This window comes from Homo sapiens, chromosome 17 (assembly GCF_000001405.40).
Source record: "Homo sapiens chromosome 17, GRCh38.p14 Primary Assembly".
In the NCBI taxonomy this organism is placed as follows: Eukaryota; Metazoa; Chordata; class Mammalia; order Primates; family Hominidae; genus Homo; species Homo sapiens.
This window is the reverse complement of record NC_000017.11, coordinates 3,484,730-3,498,750: the sequence shown is the minus strand read 5'-3', so window position 1 is coordinate 3,498,750 and position 14,021 is coordinate 3,484,730. Positions and strand designations below refer to the sequence as shown.

Sequence of the window (14,021 nt, the reverse complement as noted above, 5' to 3'; positions counted from 1 at the left end):
AAGTGATCTGACTGCGCTGACATTGGGTCGTGAATTTTGGCAGTAGTTTTAAGAGTTCCCCTTTGCATTTGTATAATTGAAACGTGTAATTAACATTTGCTTCAGCCAGGTGCAGTGGCTCCTTGCCTGTAATCCCAGCACTTGGGGAGGCCAATGTGGGTGGATCGCTTGAGCCTAGGAGTTCAAAACCAGCCTGGGCAACACAGAGATCCTATCTCTAGAAAAAATACGAAAAATTAGCTGGGTGTGGTGGTGCATGCCTGTAGTCCCAGATACTCAGGAGGCTGAGGTGGGAGGATTGCTCAAGCCCCCAGAGGTTGAGGCTACAGTGAGCTATGTTCACACCACTGCACTCCAGCCTGGGTGACAGAATGAAACCCTGTCTCTAAAAAAAAATAAAAAAGAGTTTGCTTCAATACCAGGTTTACCTTGAATGTAGCCAAAGAGATTTATAATATTAAAAGGCAAAACTAAATGCATGTCTACCTAAGTGCATAGTCTGCCTGTTGCCAGCTCAAGTTAAATTCTGTTCAGCAAAATTTAGGAAATATCCATTAGGAGTCTTCTGTGTGCAAGACATTCTACCGTTGGGAAATATAAAAATGAGCCATGTTGTACCTGCATACAAGGAGATTCTATTCTGACGGGGATTGGTGAGAGAAGGTGGTGCTGGGCTGGGGAGAGTCTGGGACAAGGTGGGTGTATTCCAAATGTGCTCCTACATTAGGGTAACAACTGAGTTATCTGAAGGGTCCCGCACCAGGGATTTGGACCTTTGAGCCCTCAAGCACCATGGCTGTCACACCACGGGAACCCCAGAACAGTTCTTCTCAAACTTTGAGGTGCTTGTAAATCATCTGGGGATTTTGTTAAGATGAAGATTCTGATTCTATAGGTTGGGGGTGGGGGCCTGGGATTCTGCATGTCTAACATTTCCCAGCAGCATCCGCATCACCCAGGAGCCTGTTAGAAAAGCAGGATTTCATTATGCGCAGCAGACCTACCAAATCAAAATCTTCATGTTAACAGGTCCTTGACGTTCACGTGCACGACATTAGTGTTTGGGAAGTGCCGCATCACCGCAGTTTTCTCCATCCTGGTGGCACATTATGATCGCTTGGGATGTTAAATACATATATACAGGTAGAGGGGCTGGCCCATTTCAGATAAATCAAATCAGAATCTGAGAGGAGGGCCTAGGCATCATTATTTTTATATTTTATTTTTAAATTTACCTACAGTGAAATTCGCTCATTTTTGTGTGCAGTTCTATGAGTTCTGACTTGCAGAGCATGGAGTCATATAACCCGCAACCATGCCATCAGGATACGTGCTTCTTTCAGCCACCTCCTCGAATCCCTCATGCTACCCATTTATAGTTCACTGTTTTCTGTGTTTATTGTATTTAGGCCCCAGATGATTTACAGGGTGGCTCGGCTGAGAACTATTTCTCTGAACCGGTGGTTTTTCAGGCAGAGACTTGCCCCAGAATCACTAAAGGAACCTCTTCAACACACGTCTGGCTAGCCCCACCTGTGGAGATTCCGACATTGTGCAGTGCTATCCAGACCTGAGCCACATGAAAATCACCTGGTGAACTCAATTGATTCCCTGTCTACACCCTGATGAATTAGATCAGAGCCCCTGGGAAGAGGACTCAGAAATCAGCATTTTTTCTTTTTCTTTTTAGACGTAATCTCAGCTCTGTCCAGGCTGGAGTGCAGTGGCACAATCTCAGCTCACTGCAACCTTCACCTCCCGAGTTCAAGCAATTTTCCTGCCTCAGGCTCCCGAGTAGCTGGGATTACAGGCGCCTGCCACCATGCCCGGCTAATTTTTTGTATTTTTGGTAGAGATGGGGTTTCACCGTGTTAGCCAGGATGGTCTCGATCTCCTGACCGCGTGATCCGCCCGCCTCGGCCTCCCAAAGCGCTGGGATTACAGGCGTGAGCCACCGCTCCTGGCCAGGAATCAGCATTTTTAAAAAGCTCCCCATAATTGTCATGTGGCTCAAGTTTGAGAAGCGCTACTTTAGTAGTTTGTGGTGGGTTCTAGGCACTGGGAGGGGGTCCCCTACGTGATTCCAGTTAGCATCCCTTAGTAAGAACTGTCATTCTTAGGACAAAATCTAGACTCATAACCGGGTCCTGAACTGTGTTTTCTCCAGGCTCTACCGTCCTCTGCTCACTCCTCCTCTCCAGGGATATGGGTCTTCTTGCTGTTCCTCAGATGCTCCAAGTTTGTTCCAGCCTCAGGGCCTCTCACTTGCCTTCCACATGGCTGGCTTCTCATCTTCTAGGTTCCAACTTCAGTGCCACCATCTCTGAGATGGCACTTTGTGACCACTCCGTCTAATTGGAACCCTTTGTTATACCCTCTGCTATATTATTTTGTGTATTTCTTTTACAGCACTTATTACAGTTTGAAATGATTTGGTTTACATATTGTTTACTTATTCATGGTCAGTTCTCCTCACCCATTGGGATGGAAGCTCCATGAGGAACCTTCCCTATCTTGAATCTCAAGGCCCAGAATGAGCTTAGTTGTCATTCAAAAATATTTGTTGGCAGAATTAACCAATCAATCCCTCCTGTAGAATACTGAGCCATTCATTATTGTCTGTCAAATCAAAACCATCCTTCCTAACTTTCGAGACCTACCACTAGCCCAGTTTGCTACTGATCTCATTCATCTCACTTCTCCGTCTGCCTGGGATTATTTTTGTACTCCTCAAGAGTATCCTAAAACCTGAAAAATCCTGTTTTAGCCTGCCATGATATCATCACCTTGGCCTCTGTTTCTTGTACTTGATATTTTTGTCACCAATAGTGCTTTCTTCCTTTCTCTCCCCCAGTCTTTACCTTTCCTTTAAAACACTGCTTAAGGCTGGGCAAGGTGGCTCATGCCTGTAATCCCACCACTTTGGGAGGCCGAGGCAGGTGGATCATGATGTCAGGAGATTGAGACCATCCTGGCCAACATGGTGAAACCCCATCTCCACTAAAAATACAAAAGTTAGCCGGGTGTGGTGACGTGAGCCTGTAATCCCAGCTACTCGGGAGGCTGAGGCAGGAGAATTGCTTGAACCCGGGAGGTGGAGCTTGCAGTGAGCTGAGATTGCACCACTGCACTCCAGCCTGGGCGACAGAGCGAGACTCCATCTCAAAAAACAAAAACAAAAACAAAAACAAAAACAAAAACAAACACTGCCTAAGGCTGCTTCTTCAGGTTTCCACCTGGGTCCCATTAAGCCACAAAGCAGGATTTGCTTCACTCGTCTGTATTACTGGGCAGGCCACTTCATTCAGTTGCAAGTCTGGATGACTATTAGAGTCACTAAACAGGGATAGGAACTGGATCAATCAGTGTTTTTCAATCCTGATTATCCAAGCCAAAAAGATCAGAGTATCTCAGAGTGGAGTCCTGCCATTGCTATTATGATGTTTTTTAAAAGCTCTCTAGGTAAAGGTTAGTCGGGGTTGAAAGCCCTGGACTAGATAATCCACCAGTTCTCTTCCATCTCTGAGGTCTGGGAGTGTGCAGGCCACTTGCACTGGGGAATGGATACTTTGGCTTTGGAAATCTGTTCTTCTCTCCTTTTCCCTTTGCCTTTTCCGGATTTAAACCTCCTACATTCTCTCAAGAGCCTTTTTTTTTTCCTTCTTCACTATGTCATTATTGATAAAACTAGGCAAGGAGTAGATTCTGGGGGTTCTGAGGAGAGTTGGGGAATGGTGGCAGAAGAAAGAGGTTCCAGTCGTTTTTCTCTAACTTATTCTGTCACAGGGAGGTAGCAAGTGATGCGGCCAACTTGAAAGAGCACTAACTCTGGATCTGTCATTGATAGCTACATGGCTGTGGGAAGGTTCTAACTTCCGTCCCTGTATTTCCTTATATTAAAATAGACATCATAATTCCCACCCGCTGAATGTGGGTAGGAGTTTCACTTTCTCTAAGTGGCCTTGTCTGACCACTCCTCTCCCATCTCATTATTCTGTCATCTCATCTGGCTGTCTTCATTTCTAGACTAAAGTTAGACTTTTGTGTACCTACACTATAAATTCCATTGAGCGTGCAGGCCATACTTACTGGTGTGTCCACACAGCCAGCACAGGTTACACTGAATAAGTATTTATTGAGCGACAGTCCGAACATCTTCCCTATCTACACTCAGTGTCTAATGAGAGCATCAAATGGGCGAATGTACGCGAAGTGCTGTATGAGCTATAAACTTCTATTCAAAGGTACAGCATTATTATTTTCAACATTTTAAAGAAAGAACAAATGTTACCTGCAGATTAGGATGGATGATAGCAGCAATTTCTCCATTTTCATCCCGGGGGTAATCAACTTTCTCTATAATTTTATAGACCTCAATGGCGCAGGGAGGAAATTCTTTTCCTATGACAAAAACAATATGTATCAATGGCAACTAAAAACATCTCTGGGCCGGGTGTGGTGGCTCATGCCTGTCATCCCAGCACTTTGGGAGGCCGAGTTGGGTGGATCACCTGAGGTCAGGAGTTCGAGAACAGCCTGGCCAACATGGTGAACCCCATCTCCACTAAAAATACCCAGGTTGGGATTATCCTAGTTACTTGGGAGGCTGAGGCAGGAGAATCTCTTGAACCTGGGAGGTGGAGGTTGCAGTAAGCCATTGCACTCCAACCTGGGCAACAAGAGTGAAACTCTGTCTCAAAAAAAAAAAAAAAATCTGGAAAAAGGGAAGTTAACAATGTAAGGAAGAAACAATAATAACAACAGCAACAATAACAAAATGAAGACAGCTATGGGGAGAACAGATAACGTTTAGTTAAGGATGTTCATAAACAGCACTAGGCCAAAAGATGTCCTTGAATGATTCCTATCAGCACTCTGTCCACAAACACGCCGACGGCCAGAGGTAGAAAACAGAACTGAAAAAGCCAGTTTGAGAGAAAAAGAATCTAGGTTTAGGGGTCAGGAGACCTGGGCTCTAATCCCCTGGCTATGCGGCCTTGAACAAGATGCTTAACTTCTTGAGGCTCGCTTTCTTGACCTGTCAAATGAAGGTATTGGATTAGCTTATCTTGGAGGACCCTTCCAGCTATGATGTTTTATGACTGCATATTTTCAGGAGGAGTTCCAGCAACTGAGGTGACTTCAGTATCGTGCTCTTTTTCTTTCCTTTTTTTTTTTTTTTTTTTTTTTGAGATGGAACCTCGCTCTTTCACCCAGGCTGGAGTGCAGTGGCGTGGTCTTGGCTCACTGCAACCTCCACCTCCCGGGTTCAAGCGATTCTCCTGCCTCAGCCTCCTGAGTAGCTGGGACTATGGGCATGCACCACCACGCCCGGCTAATTTTTGTATTTTTAGTAGAGATGGGGTCTCACCATGTTGGCCAGGATGGTCTCGATTTCTTGACCTTGTGATCCGCCCGCCTCAGCCTCCCCAAGTGCTGGGATTACAGGCGTGAGCCACCATGCCCAGCCTCTTTTTCTTAACTAAGTACATTAGACACTTGGACAGCTCCTGAGTAATGAGATCTTGTGATGCAGGCAGCCTGCCAGTGGTGGAGACCAACTTCCAAAGATGCAGCAACCTCAACCCAATTCCCAGAAACTTGGAAAAGGAGTAGTTTATGCATATACCAGGCTATCTCTGAGCAAACAGGATGAACGTTTGGTCCAATGTAGGGCCCACAGCGTGTTATGGTCACAACTCAAAGGAAAGCCTTCCTTTGCTTTTAGAGCAGAGTTAGAATGGGTATGCCCAGTGATCACTTCTGTATCAGTTAGCTTCTGCTGCATAACATACTACCCCAGAATTTAGTGGCTTCAAACAACCACCTCCTAATTTAGTTCATGATTCTGTGGGTTGGTTGGAAAGTTTCTTCCGTCTACACTGGCTTTGTGGATTTTTTTTATTGTTTTGCTCCTGCCTTTGTGGTAAGCTGACAGCTCACCTGGAGGCTGGATCCTATGGGATGGCCTTACTGTTATGTCTGATGGGCTGTCAGCTGGAGTTGCATGACTCTGTCTGTTAGGGTGCCTGAGTTTTCCACCTCAAAGGCTTTCATTATCCAGCAGGCCAATGTGGGCTGTTGTACATAATGGTACACGTACAGGGTTTCCAAGAGCAGGAAGAGAGCAAGCTCCAATGTGCAAGTGCTTTTCAAGCCTCTTCTATGGCACAAAACAATTCACATGGGCAAGCCAGCTATTCCAGAAGTGGAAAAATAGACTCTATCTCTGAACAGAAGGATATGAAACATCACACTGCCAGGATGTGGACGCGGGAAAGGGAAGAATTAAAATCTACCACACCTTCCAAGATGAAGATGGGAACTTACCAGATCTCATTTCTTTAAACCAAAAAGTTGGATAGGAAGAAAGTAAAAACTGATAGAACACAAAGGAGTATGTTTTTGCTACTTACAGTTGGAAGGAGTCTTGAAAGCCTAACTTCCATCTATGTTTGAGTATTCTCCGTATTGTTCTGGCCATCTTACAGATGCAGAAGATGACTTCTTACAGCCTCAAAAAGTGTGGCCCGTTTCATTGCTGCTCAGCTTTTTTAATAAGAAATTTCTGTCTCGCCAGGCGCAATGGCGCAGGCCTGTAACCCCAATGCTTTGGGAAGCCGAGGCAGGCAGATTGCTTGAGCTCAGGAGTTCAAGACCAGCCTGGGCAACGTGGCAAAACCCTGTCTCTACAAAAACCACAGAAATTAGCCAGGTGTGGTGGTGCACGCCTGTAGTCCCAGCAACTCAGGAGGCTGGGTGGGAGGATTGCTTGAGCCCAGGAACTTGAGGCTCCATTGAGCTGTGATTGGACCACTGCACTCCAGCCTAGGCAACAGAGTGAGACCCTGTCTCAAAAAAAAAAAAAAAAAAGAAAACAAAAGAAAAAAATTTCTGTCTCTAGATAACTTTATCTCATTGATTCTCTTCTGCCCTCTGGGTCACAGAAAATGTGTTGAATTTCTTTCTAATGTAGACTTCTTTCTTTCTTTCTTTTTTTTTTTTGAGACAGTCTCACTCTGTCACCGAGGCTGGAGTGCAGTGGCATGAACTCGGCTCACTGCAATCTCTGCCTCCTTGGTTCAAGCGATTCTCATGTCTCAGCCTTCGGAGTAGCTGGAATTATAGGCGCATGCCACCACACCCAGCTAATTTTTGCATTTTTAGTAGAGACAAGGTTTTCCCCATGTTGCCCAGACTGGTCTTGAACTCCTGACCTCAAGTGATCTGCCTGCCTCAGCCTCCCAAAGTGCAAGGATTACAGGCATGAGCCACCGCGCCTGGCCAGGAATTATTCTCATTATGATTTTCAAGCTCTTCAACATTCTCAATGCTCTCCTTGGCTAAATTCCTCTTTATAGATGTTTCTCCTGGATTACGGACTCAGAATTTATTTACAGTTCTCAAGTGTTGTTTATTCAAGGCAGAAAAAAAAGACCATTACCTCCCTTATTCTGGGATTTTTTTTAAACATAAGAACAAAACTTTGGTCCCTGATGTTGTTAACCTTAAACATTTGGTTTAAACAATTGTTAAAGATTGTCAGGACTTCTTGGATCTGCCTTCTCAACCAGGATGTTTTCCTGCTATCTTCCTGAGACCTGTCACTTAGCTAAGCATGTCGCATATGTCTTTATCCAAGTCACTAACTACAGTTCTGAGTAGGACAGAGTCAAGAATGAAGCCCTTCTACACACTTCTTCAGACTTTTCACATGGCGGCTATGATTCATTTGTCAGCATTCTGTGGATAGGAGTGCTCAGTTGAAAATCCACCAAGCTGGATAGTCTAAATTAATCGTGGTTGACAATTTTTGATTTGCCGAATCCTTTGCTTAAATGAAATGTTACACAGAAGAGCTCTGGTTGAAGCAGAGATAAGGGGTTAAGGGGTGGGGTGTTCCAGGAACTGCTTTTCTCCACCGTTGTGATAGGATTCTATGGACTATGATCTGAAAACCAACCACGTTTTCCACCCAGATTTGTGGCCTTCTATCTGAATGTATCACTTCTTAATATATTGTAGTCCCACACTTCCTATTCAGAGGGTTTATTGTAAGTATGTTGTGATCTTCTCAAAACCAGTTCCATTAGACAGTATAGAACCTGCCCTCAGACAAAGATGGTAAAAAGCAAATTTTCAGTTTTCATGATTTTGGAGTCAAAGGATTCCCAAGCACAAAACGAATGTCTGTGATTGCAGTGGGGTGCGCACGATCTGAGGTTGAGGAATTCACTCCCCACAGACACCGAAGTACACACCCCCTCTGTTATTATAATTGCCCATTCCTCAACAACAATTTCAACTCAGTCTGTTGGAATAATTGTTTACATAGAATGTCTCTTTGATTTTAAGCAACTATTTTCCATTTTAAAGTAAACTTTTTTTATAACTAATAGACTTTTTAGTGCAGTTTTAGATTTACCAAATAAATGAGCAGATAGTGCATAGAGCTGCATATACCCACCTTGTCCACCAGTCCCCGTTTAATTAATTTTTAATTACAGAAATAATACATAAATACATTATTCTTATTGAATATAATTAAGACAAAATTAGCCTGGGTTTTGCCTCCCGTCCCCGGTAACTATTGTTATCAGTTTGGTGTGTTTTCTTCTAGGACTTTCCCTGTGATGTGTTAACATATATATGTATCCTAGAAGGTGATGATTATTATTGTTATTTTAAAGCCAATTGGTGTACTGAATGTCTTGGTCTGCAACTTGCTTTCTGCTAATTACCATTGTGTTTTGAAGATTCTTCCATGTTAGTTTATTTAACTCTCCACCAACAGGTGGACATTCATGCTGTTTCCATTCTTTTGCTGTTATAAATGATGCACGATAACAATCTTTGTAAACAACATGTTGCTTGTGCTTGTGTTTCTTTGAGATGTGGAATCGCTGGGTAATAAGATTGGTGTGTTTTAAGAAGTGGATGCTGTAAGATTATCCTCTAAAATGTCTTTACCAACTTATATGTTCACTTATATGTTCACCAGCAGGTAATGAGAGTTTCCCCTTTTCCTACACATTTACCAACGCTTGATATTTGCAGACTTTAATATTTTCCCAACTTAATGGGGGAAGTGACTTCTTATTTTAATTTGCATTTCTCTAATTACTAGTGATGTTGAACATCTTTTCATATGTTTACTGGGCATTTGTATTTTCTCGTCTTTTCTTTTTAAAATGGAGATTAGCAGGAAATAAGGATTTAATGTGGAGTCTTTATTTGGCAGCTGCTTTTCTTGAATGTGTCTATCCTGGCCATTGGGGAATAGCTGAAGTGAATAAAAATTTTAAAAAGCACTTCATATCTTTAGCATGGCAAATCTGACCCAGGTTCCAATTGTTATTTAAATGTTTGGTGGTTAAGTTTGATAACGTTACCTTCATTATTACTTACCTTCATTGAAATGATGTATAAAATCAAGAGCATGTTTAATCATTTTTCTCATTTGATCCAAGATATCAGCTCTCAGAACCCCTTGAGGCTGAGGACCAACTTCTATACCTAGGTACAGAAGGAGAGATAGTCACATTTATATAAGTATGAAAATATATTATAAAACTAAGCATTTTAATGTATCAAGATTTAGAATTATGTTGTTAAAATTATTAAAAAGGTAAACCATGTAGCATCATGGAAAATATTTGAGACATAATGTTTGGCAAAACGTGAAGCAGAACATTTACATGTTTAAGTTAGATGCATAGTGAATAAAGACTGGGAAAGAACATGGAAAAAATCAGTGGTGTTAGAAATAGGAAACTCTTGTGGTCTTTTTTCTTTAAATTTCCTTCAGTATTGCTAAAATATTTAAAAGTCATAACATAGTAAAAAAGGTGAACAAGTTTATGCTGACAAAATAATAGGTGGACCTGAAGAGAAACTGTTAAGATCTAACATTTAGCTGTGACGGGAGGAAGGACATCTATTTTTATAGATTTCACAGAAATCCAGACTAGATGAATCATGGATTTCAGTCAATATGACAATCTATGTGACCCTTGAGCAATGATTTTGCCCTTAACCTAGCAATCCATCCTAACACAATAGTGCAATGGTTTTATTTATTTATTTATTTTTTCGAGACAGAGTCTCACTCTGTCACCCAGGCTGGAGTACAGTGGTGTGATTTCTGCTCACTGCAACCTCTGCCTCCCAGGTTCAAGCGATTCTTCTGCCTCAGCCTCCCGAGTAGCTGGGATTACAGGCACGGGCCACCATTCCTGGCTTATTTTTATATTTTTAGTAGAGGCAGGGTTTCACCATGTTGGTCAGGCTGGTCTCAAACTCCTGACCGCAGGTAATCTGCCCTTCTCGGCTTCCCCAAATGCTGGGATTACAGGCGTGAGCCGTCGTGCTTGGCCTGGTTTTAATTTTATGCAGGAAAAAACTTGTGTTCATTTCTTCTAACTCATATGAAATGATGCCTGTACTATTAGGTCTACTTTGTGTGGCTGTTAAGCATCCATCCTTACATCTACAAAATACTCTTTCTTTAAACTACTTTTGTAGACCCTTCCTTCCTGTTCAAGTCTCCCACAAAGTCATCTCCCCAGTCATCACCTTCTCTATTTGGCAAACCATTTACCCCAACTGCACTACCCTCATTCTCTTCCATCCCATTAACATACTGCATTCTTTTACACTCATCTTGTTTTCACCCGCTTCTGTTATTTCCCAATACACAAAATCTTATCTTATTCTCTTGCATCATTTTTTATTTGTTGTGCTTAGGTTTCTTGCATATATGTATGAACATATATTTAAGTATATGGTGTCATAAATGTGGCTAAGGTATGCATCTGTGCATAAATGACTTACACAAATATGTGAAAAAGTGTGTTTGTAGATATGTCTGTAGGAATACTATAGAATACATTGTCGTTTGCCTACCCCAAATCCATTTCACTTTCCTCCTGTTTCTAATAGAATCCTGATATTAGTTGGGCTTCCAATCTTCAAGGTAGGTAAATTTCTCTCCATTTCAAGAGTAAATGTTGAATAGTTTAAGTCAATCATAATAATCCCCTAGTCAATGATTTAAGAATGAAGGAATCTTTATTATGCACAAAAGTATCAATACTTGAAGTAAGGAATTAGAGTAAGCTAAATATCCAAATACAGGCAATTAGCTGAAACAAATCAAAGGCTTAGCAATAAGAGATACAGATCCTGTTTCTCTGTGACACCAAATAAAAGCTTAAGATTTCCAAACTCTCAAATATCAATCTTAGGCTATGATATTTGTAGGCAATGCTACTCTTAGCCAGAACAAACATTGCTGATATGTTTGGCCCTTACAAGTTGAGCCAAATCTTTAAAATATTTCAATATGAGGGAGTATTAAGCTCATTGTAAATAATTAGAAATGTTATATGTTCTCCTTCCAACTTTGCTGTTTTATTTGGAATATTTTATATCATGCACTCACTGGGAAAAAAGCATGTTTAACATTAGAGAGACAATCTTTCTGAGTCAACATTTTATAATACACTAAGAATATTGCTGCATACAAATTTTGCTTTAACTTCTAGTAGGCACCTACAAGGACCACCTTTGTACTCTGTTCTCAAGGAAGAAGAAATGTGACAGGATCATTCTAGGCAAACCTTATCCTAGAAAGAAGCAGTTTGCTGCAGCCACTCTTATGATCACACACACACACGCACACACACACATAAACACACACACACACACAAATATGGGAAAGCGACTGGACACAGCCCTCTCCTAACTTTCTCAGATTAACCGTGGTCTCATTTGAGACTTAGGAAAGTTATTTGTGTAATTATTATTCATTCAACGCCACCCCTGACTCTGCCATAGCCATGTCCTACAATCTAAATATTCTGCTCTGATATGAGATCTTGTATCGAAAAATTAATTTTTGGTTTGGACAATAGGGCCACCAAAGATGGCATATAAAGATCCTTTTATTATGCACAAAAGTATCACTACTTGAATTTCCAGAATAATTTTAGATTTTAATTTATTTATATTGTTTGCCAACCTGCTTTTAAATTACATTACTCCTGGCTAAACCATCTGAGATTTAACAAAAAATATTTTAAGTTGTAATTTTAATTGTAGTGTAGTCTGCAGATAATTAATTATGCTAATGAGGCGCTCAAGAAAGAGAATGGACTAGAGAAGAAAGAGGGTGTTTGAGAGGGTGTGTGAGAGTGTGGGGCTGCATGTTGGAAGTTACCAGAAGGTAAAGATGAAGTCACAGCCTAGTAACTGGCAGGATAAACAAGTGAATAGATGACAAACAGCTCGTGAAATGTCTATTGCAAAGCAGGTGGTAAGAGGGATGTGGAGAGAGGATTCTTCATGGATCTTCTGCATATCTGCAAGTCTCATGAGCAAGACACGGACTATTTTTGTTCCAGATGATCTTTTCAAGGATGTCTGTATAGTGAACAGCCTTGGAAGTTAGGAATGGGGTCTTCCCTGGAGCAAAGGGCACTCGTGCCTACTGCCCATTATAAAAATGAAGGTTCACAGCCGGGTGCGGTGGCTCACGCCTGTAATCCCAGCACTTTGGGAGGCCGAGGCGGGTGGATCACCTGAGGTCAGAAGTTCGAAACCAGCCTGGCCAACATGATGAAACCCTGTCTCTACTAAAAATGCAAAAAATTTGCTGGGTATGGTGGTGGGCACCTGTAATCCCAGCTACTCAGGAGGCTGAGGCAGGAGAATTGCTTAAACCCAGGAGGCGGAGGTTGCAGTGAGCCGAGATTGTGCCACTGTACTCCAGCCTTGGCAACAAGAGCGAAACTCCGTCTCAAAAAAAAAAAAAAAGGTTCCCTCCTAGAATGCAACCACTGGCATGGATAGCTGCCATCTGGCTCTCTCTATGTCACCCTGTGGGAACTGGAGCTTGGGTAATGGTGCAGAAATGCTGACACTCTGCTATTACTACTGTCAATAATCTATTCTTTGTCTCTGTTTTAGGAGTCTTGTGTCTTCTACTGGCATCCACTCAGAGGTGCTAGGCTAATGGTTAGCTTGTAAGTCGGGTAAAATTTCTCAGATCTTTGACAGGTCTTGATAAGGAGAGGGTCAGAAAACAACCTGGAGTAGGTCACTGGTAGCACAAGCACTTTGGAGAAACAGATCCCTTGCCTTTCTGATCCAGTCAAATCTGATCACTCCGGACAAGCTCATGAATGTATGTATTTCCAGTGTTAGATGGCTAGTATTTTTGTTTGTTTGTTTTTTTGAGACGGAGTTTCACTTTTGTTGCCCCGGCTGGAGTGCAATGGCATGATCTCGGCTCACTGCAACCTCCACCTCCGGGGTTCAAGCGATTCTCCTGGTTGGCTAGTATTTTATATATGGTTATAGTTATAGAACCTGCATGGGAAGGAATGGATAAGTTTGTATAAGTCTGTGTGGGATAGGTGTGATTAAAACTGTGAATGAGGTACAGGTGTGGTGGCTCACGCTTGTAATCCCAGCACTTTGGGAGGCCAAGGTGGGAGGATCGCTTGAATCAGGAGTTTGAGACCTGATCATACTGAGATCCTGTCTCTACAAAAAATAAAAAATTAGCTGAATGTGGTGGCACGTGCCTGTAGTTCAAGCTACTTGGGAGGCTGAGATGGGAGGATTGCCTGAGCCCAGGAGGTCAAGGCTGCAGTGAACTGTGATCGTGCCACTACACTCAGCCTGGGCAACAGAGTGAGACCCTTTTCCAGAAAAAAAACAAAACAAAACCCTACTGTGAATGATGATCATTTATAAGTTAGAATTGTGTACTTACTGGTAATTTGAGCTAATATTTAGTAAGCATACATTATCAGCCTGCAGAAGGGGATAGGGAACAGAGAGTGCTAAGATAAATGGAGAACACAGTGTATCAAGTATGGCATGTCATCAGTTAGGGGTTTGGGGCCCTTGTATATGATATTCCTTTTTCCTCAAAGTATTGTCTGAGGACAGGGACTGGTCCACCAATTGTCTGCTGCTGGTCCCAGGCGAGATATGTACAGAAATTAAAGTAA

At 42.2% G+C, this 14,021-nt stretch overlaps 2 protein-coding genes across 5 annotated transcripts in view; one reads left to right on the top strand and one right to left on the bottom strand.

Annotated features, from left to right (window-relative positions):
• SPATA22 (spermatogenesis associated 22) overlaps positions 1-14,021 on the top strand; it is a 73,840-nt gene that overhangs the window by 15,108 nt on the left and 44,711 nt on the right. The window lies entirely within an intron of this gene.
• ASPA (aspartoacylase) overlaps positions 1-14,021 on the bottom strand; it is a 29,296-nt gene that overhangs the window by 4,655 nt on the left and 10,620 nt on the right. For all 3 annotated transcript variants that reach the window (XM_017024661.2, NM_001128085.1, NM_000049.4), the window contains 2 exon segments: positions 9,409-9,516; positions 4,292-4,401 (listed from right to left, as the gene is read on the bottom strand). In XM_017024661.2, the coding sequence (XP_016880150.1) occupies positions 4,292-4,401; positions 9,409-9,516 (218 nt within the window).